The sequence below is a fragment of the Homo sapiens genome, chromosome 18 (assembly GCF_000001405.40).
Source record: "Homo sapiens chromosome 18, GRCh38.p14 Primary Assembly".
Lineage (NCBI taxonomy): Eukaryota > Metazoa > Chordata > Mammalia > Primates > Hominidae > Homo > Homo sapiens.
The window spans coordinates 54,245,072-54,256,199 of NC_000018.10; the positions used below are offsets into that span (position 1 = coordinate 54,245,072).

General features: G+C 39.5%; 1 long non-coding RNA gene across 1 annotated transcript, besides 4 other annotated features; it reads right to left on the reverse strand.

The window, feature by feature from the left end:
* Positions 1,410 to 2,295: an enhancer, noted in NCBI's record as "OCT4-NANOG-H3K27ac hESC enhancer chr18:51772851-51773736 (GRCh37/hg19 assembly coordinates)". NCBI's record gives its function as "activates a minimal SCP1, AML or CMV promoter by ChIP-STARR-seq in naive H9 embryonic stem cells {active_cell/tissue: H9 hESC(naive)}" and the evidence as "EXISTENCE:reporter gene assay evidence [ECO:0000049][PMID:30033119]".
* LOC124904306 (uncharacterized) lies at positions 2,049 to 3,640 on the reverse strand. Its single transcript, XR_007066378.1, has 2 exons — positions 3,559 to 3,640; positions 2,049 to 2,743 (listed from the first exon to the last, which is right to left on the reverse strand). It is a non-coding gene; the product is annotated as an uncharacterized LOC124904306 (long non-coding RNA).
* Positions 2,296 to 3,182: an enhancer, noted in NCBI's record as "OCT4-NANOG-H3K27ac-H3K4me1 hESC enhancer chr18:51773737-51774623 (GRCh37/hg19 assembly coordinates)". NCBI's record gives its function as "activates a minimal SCP1, AML or CMV promoter by ChIP-STARR-seq in naive H9 embryonic stem cells {active_cell/tissue: H9 hESC(naive)}" and the evidence as "EXISTENCE:reporter gene assay evidence [ECO:0000049][PMID:30033119]".
* Positions 6,088 to 6,157: a silencer, noted in NCBI's record as "silent region_9471". NCBI's record gives its function as "represses an Ori minimal core promoter by ATAC-STARR-seq in GM12878 lymphoblastoid cells {active_cell/tissue: GM12878}" and the evidence as "EXISTENCE:reporter gene assay evidence [ECO:0000049][PMID:35858748]".
* Positions 7,645 to 8,147: an enhancer, noted in NCBI's record as "H3K27ac-H3K4me1 hESC enhancer chr18:51779086-51779588 (GRCh37/hg19 assembly coordinates)". NCBI's record gives its function as "activates a minimal SCP1, AML or CMV promoter by ChIP-STARR-seq in naive H9 embryonic stem cells {active_cell/tissue: H9 hESC(naive)}" and the evidence as "EXISTENCE:reporter gene assay evidence [ECO:0000049][PMID:30033119]".

Genomic DNA, 11,128 nt, shown 5'->3' on the forward strand with positions numbered 1-11,128 from the left:
GGACCTGTAGCTGGTAAATGAATCTAAGAAATTCAGGAGTCTCATCAAGTAATAATTACATTCAATTCCTCCTTCGATTACAGCGCTATTTTATAATTTGACCATATCTACCTAGTCTGATAACAGGACTGCTGACGTCACCTCTTTAACCTACAGGTTTTTTGAACCCACTTAGGATCACATTCATATTCTCCTACAGTGACACATGATAACCCATCTTGTGTGGCTGATTAAGCCATACATCTGAATAAATAACTCTCCTACCACCAAGAGCTGACTATATGCATTTTATCAGACAAGGTCTAGTCTTGACTGTCAGCTATAGTTTTAGTCAACTGTAGGCTTCAAGATGTTCATGATACAATTTTCCAAACAGAGAAAACAAAGTAGATTCCTTGGTATAAGTGACAAAGATTCCTCCTCTGCAATGGGGCCAGGAAAGGACCTAAATTGAAAGATCCTGAAGTGCTAGCTTTTTCAATGTATTTTGTTGTTGTTGTTTTCGATTTTATTGAGGTATAATTGAAGTACACCAAACCAAACACATTTAAAGAGTACAGTTTGATCAGTCTTAACATATATACATACCATAGTCAAGGTAACAAACGTTTTCATAAGCCTCAAGTTTCCTTTGCCCCTTGGCAATGCTTCCCTGCCTCCAACCCCTTCTCCAGAGAGCCACTGAGCCTTCTGTAACCATCGATTAATTAGCATGTTCCAGACTTCTACATAAATGGCATTATACAGTACGTACTTTTTTTTTTTTTTTTGGCCTGACTTTTTTCATTCAGCTACTTTTTTTCTTTCTTTCTTTTCTTTCTTTTTTTTTTTTTTTTTGAGATAGGGTCTTGCTCTTTCACCCGGGCTGGAGTGCAGTGGTGCAATCACAACTCACTGAAGCCTTGACCTCCCAGGATCAAGTGATCGTCCCACCTCAGCCGCCTGAGTAGTAGCTGGGACTGCAGGTGAGTACCACCATGACTGGCTAATTTTTTCTGTACAGATAGAGTCTCACTATGTTGCCGAGGCTGGTCTCCAACTCTAAATCCTGGACTCAAGCAATCCTCCCACTTCAGCCTCCCAAAGTACTGGGATTACAGGCATAAGCCACAATGCCAGCCTTCATTCAGCAACTTATTTTAAGATTTATCCATGTTGTGGTAAACAGTGAACATCAATACTCTGTTCCTTTTTATTGTTGAGTAGTATTTAACTACATGGTTGTACCACAATATATCTATTCATATATTGATGGACATTTGGATTGTTTTTGACTATTGCTAAAAAGCCTGCAATGAATATTTGCAATCTTTATACAAGCATATGTTTTCATTTCTTTTGGATAAATACCTAGAAGAGGAATGACACATAATAGATGTATATTGAACTTTTAAAGAAACTACCAACAACTTTCCACAGTCACTGCACCATTTTGCATTCCCACCAACAGTGTCTAAGTGTTCTAGTTGCCCCATATCCTCATCTTCATGTGGTAGAGTCAGTTTTTTTTTTTTTTTTTTTAAAAGAGTTGAGACTTTCCTGAGGCAGGAGAATCACCTGAACCCAGGAGGCAGAGGTTGCAGTGAGCCAAGATCATGCCACTGCACTCCAGCCTCCAGCCTGGGCGACAGAGGGAGACTCTGTCTCAAAAAAAAAAAAAAAAAGTTTAGCCTTTCAGTGGGTGTGTGTATTGGCATCTCATTGTGATTTTAAGTTACATTTCCCTGATGACTAGTAATGTTAAGCGTCTTTTCAGGGCCGGGTGTGGAATCCCAGCACCTTGGGAGGCCCCAAGGTGGGCAGATCTCTCGAGCCCAGGAGTTCAAGACCAGCCTGGCCCACAGGGCAAAACCCTGTCTCTACAAAAAATCAACCTAAAGAGGGGATAGTTTTTAAACCCTTTTGGTCTTTACCATTTGAATAATGAAGAGTTCTGTTCTCCTCTTTCAGAGACGCTGTATTTACACACACACACACACACACACACTCTCTCTCTCTCTCTCTCTGTCTCTCCACAGCCCCACCCCCCATCTTTGTTCTTCCCCAAGGCAAGAACAGATGTTTATTTAATTAGTGAAAGGAGGAGAGTCTGACAATCGTAAGGCTATTGTGGGGTTAATGGTGCTGTGGCCCAGCCTTTAGAATCCTTTCTGGGTTTCCTCCCCCGAGGCATTGTGGGCTGACTCTGCTTCAGGTTCTCATCAGTAAGCTGGCAGGTGTGTTCGGCCTCCTGCAGGCCCCGACAGGCCTTTGTTCTCTCAGAAGCAGCTTCTCACCCTGCCACTAAGTGGAAGAATCAGGTTTGCTGTTCACATGGGGCTCTTCATTTCCAATTCACCATGGGTAGAGCTATGAGAGATGTAGGAAGGGGACCTCAGGATAAAACTTCTTTTTCCCCTCCATAACCACTTTTACTGCTAATAAAGTTGAGAATCAAAACATTTTTTACCTTCTTGGGTCTATTTCTGAGTTAGTAGAATCTGGAGGGGATTTTAACTATGGCTTTGAGATTAAAAAACAACAACAAAAATAAAACGCTGTGATTGACTTATGTAAACACATGGCTGTTCTGTTCCCTTCGTGGCCGACTTGCTCAGCTCAGCGGAAACGCAGTTAATGAAGAACTCTGTTTGTTGTCCCACCTTCTTTGCAGATGTCTTCAAGATCAGACTCCCTCCTGTCTCGTTCAATACTTAAGTATTTAGATACCTTGTAAAAAGCCTGGGTGTTACACAGGCATTTGCTGAGACAGGAAACAGAGGAAAGCATAAGTCAAAGAAACAGTAAATTTCAAGGCAGAAAGGGCTGATTCAAAAGCATTAAATAGAGCTATAGTCTGATAACATGATGCTAACCTGAGAAGCTCAGAAATTTTTCCTTGAAGAATTGATAAAGGTGACTCAGGGAAAATACCAGAGCAGGTATGGATGCCAGCAAATCTGGTTTGTTTCAAAAGCAGACGACGTCTCCTTTAATTTACTGAGTTAAAAATGCATATAATATTTTTATGGCATACATTTTCCCCTTAAAACTGTATATTCTTTGTGATCATGATCTTAGCAATAATAGTTTTGCCAACCACAGTCCCGTTCAGGAACATAACCTCTATAATTGATGAACATGTTCCTTTTAGATTTGTGCGTGGGGGGGGGTAAGGGAATCATTAAATATAAAAATAAAATAATTTAAATGTTCTGATTGAAAATCATAAGCTGGAGGCACATCCAAAATACCCATGGGTGTTGGAACAATACTGTCTTTGACATTATAAAATTATAAATTATATCAACATTATAAATTATATTGATTCGTTCCTGAAATTTTCTCCAGATATTTAAAAACAGATCAGTAAAAACCTCAAAACTGACTTTATCCTTCTAAAGTTTAAAATTTCATGACTGGCCGGGTACAGTGGCTCACACCTGTAATCCCAGCATTTTGAGAGGCCGAGATGGGTGGATCACCTGAGGTCAGGGGTTGGAGCCCAGCCTGGCCAACATGGCAAAACCCCGTCTCTATTAAAAAATACAAAAATTTGCCAGGCATGGTGGCACCCACCTGTAGTCCCAGCTACTTGGGAGGCTGAGGCAGGAGAATGGCTTGAATCCAGGAGGTGGAGATTGCAGTGAGCCAAAGTCACATCACTGCACTCTAGCCTGGGTGGCAGAGTTAGATTCTGTCACGGAAAAAAAAAAAAAAAAATGTTATGATTAGTTAGCCAGCTAGAGGTACAAACTCACACGAGGCCATCTGAGAATTCGATAATTTTTAGTGTTATCATAAATTTATTACCTATAAAAGTATCTATAAAATCCTGGATCTGGCCATTCAAACCTTCCCTGACAGTAGGGTTAATCTGGTGTTTGAGATTATGAAGGTTCTATATCTGACAGACATTTTGGAGGCCTTTTCAATTCTATCATCTTAAGACAACTGCCTTGAACTCTGTAAACTGCAGTCTTTTCTCTGATTGAAGTCTACTAATATCTCCTTATATAATTCAAGTGAATAAAAGGTTTGAATTAAATAGGGCATACAGTAAAAGACTTTTGCTATCAGAACAGTTCAAAAACCTTTTCAGATTTGTGGACTTCAAGTCTTGCCAATCTTTTAACCTACTTATATTCAATCAATGAGATCTGTTTGAATGCACTAAAGAGTAGATTCAACCCAATGTCAAAGAGAATATTCTTCCAACACCTAACACTATAGACAAATTAATTTGTTGCCTATTTCATCTACTAGTTATGACAGCATCCTCTTCAATAATTGCAAGTCTAAATTTTCAGATCAATACTGAAATGGGTTTCAGGCATGACTATTCTGCTATTAACCTGTTATACTATTTTAACATCTTATAATGAAGTCAATTGAAAAAAGATAATATTATTGGCAGCTTTTATTGGCCACTTACTGACCTTGAACTAAAGGTTAATCTGTACAAGCTCAATATAGATCCTGGTTGTTGACACTTTTATAAAACCTGCACTTCAGTGGACAAGAATAATGTCCTGGCATATTTCAAATAATGTCCTGGCATATTTCAAATAATGTTAAATATAATTCGAAGCCACCTACAATTCTTGTGTATTTTCTTTAAATAATCTAGCTTTTTCTAAATTTTATATTTATTTAAACTCTCTACAGTGGGTGCTTAAAAAAATAGTTGGCTCTTGTGTTTGTGTTCTTTACAATATCAAACCATGATATGGAGAGGATAAACTTGAGCCACCAAGAAGTGGACTCTGCCTAGGAAGACAGTTTGCTGAAGTTAGAAAGTACTGGTCTAGGAACCAGAAAACCTGATTCTGCCCAAGAGTTAGAATTGTGAGTGAGTTCTTTCTGGTTTTTAGTTTCCTTATCTGTAAAATAATTACCCAGTTCAATTGGATAATCTCTATGATCCCTTCCACATTCTGCATACTTGGATATCTACTGTTTCTAAATATTTTGGCATTTCTTATAAAGCCCTTTCACATTTACTTTATTATTTTTTCCTCACAAGAATTCCTGAAATAGATAAGGCAGAAGTTTAGAGGATAGATAGGTTGGGTATCATTTTAGATGTGGTAACTAAGGTTACGGGAGATTAGGTGTGATATGATTTGGCTGTGTCCCCACCCAAATCTCATCTTGAATTCCCACGTGTTGCAGGAGGGACCTGGTGGGAGGTAATTGAATCATGCGGCAGGTCTTTTGCGTACTGTTCTTGTGATAGTGAATAAGTCTCATGAGATCTGATGGTTTTAAAATGGGGAGTTTCCCTGCACAAGCTCTCTTCTCTTGCCTGCTGCCGTGTGAGACATTCTTTTCACCTTCTGCCATGATTATGAGGCCCCCCCAGCCACATGGAACTATAAGTCCCTTAAATCTCCCTTTCTTTTGTAAATTGTCCAGTCTCAGATATGTCTTTATCAGCAGTGTGAAAATGGACTAATTCAAGGTGATTGGTAAAAATTACCTATCTGGGGACTGGAGCAGTGGCTCACGCCTGTAATCCCAGCCCTTTGGGAGGCCAAGGTGGGCAGATCATGAGGTCAGGAGATTGAGACCATCCTGGCTAACACGGTGAAACCCCGTCTCTACTAAAAATACAAAATTAGCTGGGCATGATGGCACACACCTGTAGTCCCAGCTACTCAGGAGGCTAAGGCAGGACAATCCCTTGAATCTGGGAGCCAGAGGTTGCAGTGAGCAGAGATTGCTCCACTGCACTCCAGCCTGGGTGACAGAGCAAGACTCCGCCTCAAAAAAAAAAAACAAAAATTACCTATCTGGTAAATAGCAGGACTGGAACATAAACTCAGATCCTCTGATTCCAGCAAATTTCTACATAGGCCACAAAAACACACACAACAGGAAGTATAACTGCTTGGAATCATTAGTTATATGCATGAATTACTTCTAAAGGAAGTGATACTTCCTTTAACTACTGAAACTACACTACACTTAAACTCAAAGTTAATAATAGAAATAAAAGTAATAAAATAACCAGTGCTTTATTGTAATATGAATAGGAGGGTAATTACAATGGTTTGGAAAATAACAGCTGAGCTCTGAGGGTTAGGTTTGAGGCTACAGTGTGGAGCACAGTTATGATTCAGTTATGACTCCCCCCTTACCGGAAATGTACCGAAAATGTACAGAGGTGTTTGGAGAAGCAAAGCTATGAGGAAAGAGGAAAAACTGGGAAACCCTCATTACATAGCTAGGTGAAAATTAATGAGAAAACTAATGGCATAAAAACATTTGAAAAGCAATAGCATATGAGAAACATATCATGTATCACGTTGGATAAAAGTAAGACTAGGAGAGGATATAAACTTGATGGTTAGATCGCAGTAAAAACAAAGTTTGTGCCTACAGAATTACAGCTTTAAAAAGTGATAGGACACAAGAAGCACACACTGAAATACCAAGGAATAAAGGACATGATGTGCAAAATGTATTCTGAAATAGTTAAGAAAAAATAATTGTGTTTGTGTGTGTGTGTGTTGTGTGTGTGTCTCAAAATGTTAAAGAGTGATAAATCTGGGTAAAGGATACATGATAGTTCTTTCCATTATTCTTAAAATTTTTCTGTAGGTCTGAATCATTTCAAAATCAAATGTAAAAGAAAAAAGCAGTGATAGGAGCACAGCCATTAAGCCATTCAGCAATGTTACAAGACTTTTAATAGAGCTGAGAAGAATTTCATGATTTCATGTAGTATTTCATACACAGATCAGTGGACTTGAATTCTGGTTCACATTTGTCCTCTAAGTAGCTATGCAGTCTTGGACTATTCTTGGAAAAATTGGTTTTGGACTAGATCAGTGATTTAAAAACTCTTCTGTGGATTCTGGAAAAGTATTTTGGGCCCAAAACAGCAAAGCAGGAAGTATGCCAGGCGTGCCTTCCATCCCTGTCCCCGTTTAACCGGAGAAGCATTCCTTTTTTTTTTTTTTTTTTACTTACTTTTTTTTTGAAGTTCCCATTGTTTCAAAACATTTTTTTTCCTCCCAAAGCCAGTGAACTAGATGACCTTTAAGGCTGATTTCAAGCATGAGTTCACAGGCTTCAGTTGTTTGGGGGGAAACTGTGGTATATCAGACCCAAGGGCCAAATCCCCCAGCCATTGGCTCCTGTAGAAACTCTGAGCTAAGAGTGGTTTTTAAATTGTTTAAATGGTTAGAAAAAAAAGAATACCTTGATGAAACACACCCATTTGTTTACATTTTGTCTCTATGGCTGCTTTCACTTACAACAGCAGAGTAGAATAGTTGTGATAAACATCAGAGACCTTATGCCCAGAAGGCCTAGACGTTTATTATCTGGCCCTTATAGAAAATGGTTGCCAATCTCTATGGTAGAAGTAATAGCCATTAAAACCAATAACCATTATAAATTATAAATTTTAGGACACTCAGTGATTTCTGTGCCAGATATTTAGACCAAAAAGAAAATTGTCCTTTTTTCTTTTTGAAACAGCGTCTTACTGTCTCCCAGGCTGGCGTGCAGTGGCATGATCATGGGTCACTGCAGCCTTGACCCCTAGGCTCAAGTGAGCCTGCCACCTCAGCCTCCCCAGTAGCTGGAATCACTTGCGTGTGCCATCACACTCAGTTAATTTTTGTATTTTTTGTAGAGACAGATTTTTGCCATGTTGCCCAGGCTGGTCTTGAACTCCTGGGCTTAAGGGATCCTCCCGCCTCGGCCTCCCAAAGTGCTGGAATTACAGGTGTAAGCCACTGCACTTGGCCATGATAATCCATTAATTTTAGTGAAAGAAACTTCTTCTTTCTTTATTTCCTCAATTTCAAGGCATGTCTCATTAATCCTGCTGAATCTATGTTACTGAAACAAAGGAGTATATAAGCTTACCCTGCATAGTATTGCAAATGGTGGACAGTGAATTCAAAGACCTACCATGTGGAATTCTAACATACCCAGCTTGGTGTATCAGTCTTTCAATATACAGATCTTTCTCCAAGAACTTAGGAACAGTAAGCGAAAACGCAACTTAAAACTTTCTATAGGACCCCTGGAAAATGAGAGAGGTGTGTTATGGTTGAAGTCAAGCTGTGGGCTTAGCTACAGACTATAGTGTAACGAGAAGCCTCTGAGGATGGGTGTTCACTGGTGTTAAAGGGAAAATAAAAAATAATATATATATATTATTTTCTGAGTCGGAGTTTCACTCTTGTTGCCCAGGCTGGAGTGCAATGGTGCGATCTCTGCTCACAGCAACCTCTGCCTCCTTGTTTCAAGTGATTCTCCTGCCTCAGCCTCCTGAGTAGCTGGGATTACAGGCATGCGCCACCACACCTGGCTAATTTTGTATTTTTAGTAAAGACGGGGTTTCTCCATGTTGGTCAGGCTGGTCTTGAACTCCTGACCTCAGGTGAAGAATATTCTTCTAGGGAATATATCAGTGATAGAACACTTACAAATACCAGATCTCAATAAATTCTGTTGGACAACAAACTCTTTAAGGAACACAAGGGCTGGGGCGTGGTGGCTCATGCCTGTAATCCCAACACTTTGGGAGGCTGAGGCGGGCACTGAGGCTAGGGGTTTGAGACCAGCCTGGCCAACACGGTGAAATCCCCATCTCTACTAAAAATACAAAAATTAGCCAGGCTTGGTGACATGCACCTGTAATTCCAGCTGCTCAGGAGGCTGAGGCAGGGCAGGAGAATAGTTTGAGTCTGGGAGGCGGAGGTTGCTGTAAGCCAAGATTACACCACTGCATTCCAGCCTATGCGACACAGCAAGACCCTGTCTCAAAACAAAAAACAAAAAACAAAAACAAAAAGAAACTCAAGGCATTGGAGAAGGCTTTCTATGGCTAAAATATTTGTAAATCTGAGAGTGAGTCTACTTATTTAAAAGCAATATTAATTTCATGTGCCATTTTCATAAAATTATTCCAGCAAAAACATTAGTTGCAACAGCAAGCCTTTCCCATTGTTCCCTCAGTGAACACCCAAAATTCAAAATATAATCTTCATTTTCATTTGTCTTACACTAACATGTGCCATACATCTTACAGGCAATTACTGAATATGTCTTTGATGCAGTAAGACAGGTTCTGCCTAATTCTCTGTCTCCACAGGGTTCAATGATAAACTCTGGAAATGAAAAAAACTCAAAACCTTTTCACGAAGTCTTCCCCCGATTTTTATTTAAGCAGTAACAGGTTTAGTTATTAGCTGTAGGTCTCCCCTGCTAACAACAATTCCTATGGTAGTAAGAGCTGCGTAGGAAACTATCAGTAAAGCCCATATAAGAAGCCGTGAAACCAGGCTTAGAAAAGACTGAAAAATGAGTGTTGTCAGCTTCACTCCTGCAGCAGCGTGCGAGGGCAAAGGTCTGAGAAAGAAATCCTCAGTTACCTTTTGCAGTAGCCTGATTTCCAGCCCATGCATTTGTTTATTTATGAATGCCTTTCCCTCATGCAAGAGCTCAAAGTGTACCCGATGGACTTAAACCAACAGTAAGAAGCGGCGATGACAGACGCTGAGTCCCAGCTGAGTTGAAATATTGGTACAAGAAACATAATGAGAAGGAAAGAATCTAGCATTTTCTGAACACTTAGTGATTAGGTCAGTGCCTCCCTCCGACTTTGATGTGCATGTGAATCATCCGAGGATTGTTTTAACAAGCATATTCTGATCCAGCAGGTCTGGGAAGAGACCTGAGATTCTGCATTTTTTTTTTTACGAGGTTTTAGCGACTGCTACCTGCTGTTTCCCAGACCACACTTTATCACAAATCCAGATCCTTCATATTTAATACTTAAAATAAATTTGAGAGATAGATATTATCATCTTTTAAAACAGACCTTAAAAGAGACGTTAAAAATTCATAAATGGGGAAACATGAGGGTTATCTAATAACAAAGTTCATATTCTTTCCAGTACCCTAATAACACCCCACAGGAGTAACTGATGCTTTATTGTATGTTACTGTTTTGAAATTTGAGACCGATGCCTCAAATATGCCTGATCACCAGTGACATTTGTCTAAAATTCAGATCTTCAAGCCCCTGCACAATCTATTTCACCATAATTTATTGATGAGGTGCCTAAAAGAAGGTACTTTTAATGATAACTGATTGGTGATTCTTGGGACCAGGAATGTTTGGGAAACTGATCATCTAGGTCACACTTTAGTTTTGAAAACTCCAGTAGGGAACATTGGTGTTCTGTGTTTATTAGAGAACTTTGAGGGAACATTGTCTGCTCAGGCAAAGAGGATATCAGAACCACTTTAATGCTCATCGGCTCCACTGAGAAGGGCTGCTGGGTCAGATGGAGTGAAACTTGTTGGTTTCATGATGTAAGGGATAGGTTTAAACCTGTATCTTATAACAGGGTGCTAAAGTATAGGATCTAATTATGTCACTTTTAATTGTAAGGTGAAAGCAACAATAGCCACAGAGTTTAATTGCCCTCTTTATCAGGTAAATGATCTTTGTCACTCAATCCAATTATAAAGCATACATATTAGAATAAAAGATCAACTAGAAAATATTTCCCATATCCGAAGTCCATAATTAAATATTTTATTAGAAACGCTCAATGAGATCAGAGTAAGGGTAATTATTTATTTCTGCTTTGAAAGGATACCTTTCAGCCAAGGAGATTACCCATAAATTTTTTACTACGGCTCTGTATGGTAAATATAGGGCCAAGGAAGTAGACTTTTTCTTTTCTTTTTTTTTTTTTTTGAAATGGAGCCTTGCTTTGTCACCCAGGCTGGAGTGCAGTCGTGTGATCTCAGCTCACTGCAACCTCCGCCTCCCGGGTTCAAGCAATTCTCCTGCCTCAGCCTCCCAAGTAGCTGGGACTATAGGCGCGCACCACCACACCTGTCTAATTTTTGTATTTTTAGTAGAGATGGGGTTTCACCATGTTGGTCAGGCTGGTCTCGAATTCCTGACCTTGTGATCTGCCGGCCTCAGCCTCCCAAAGTGTTGGGATTACAGGCGTGAGCCACCACCCAGGGCCAAAGTAGATTTTGAAAGTAAACATTAAGAGTTACTTCTTTCAGATCATTGATACTTTTTCTTGCTTAAACAAAATACATTTAGAGTACTATAGTTATACATTTTTAAAGGCATTCTTGATCTTGATACAATTAA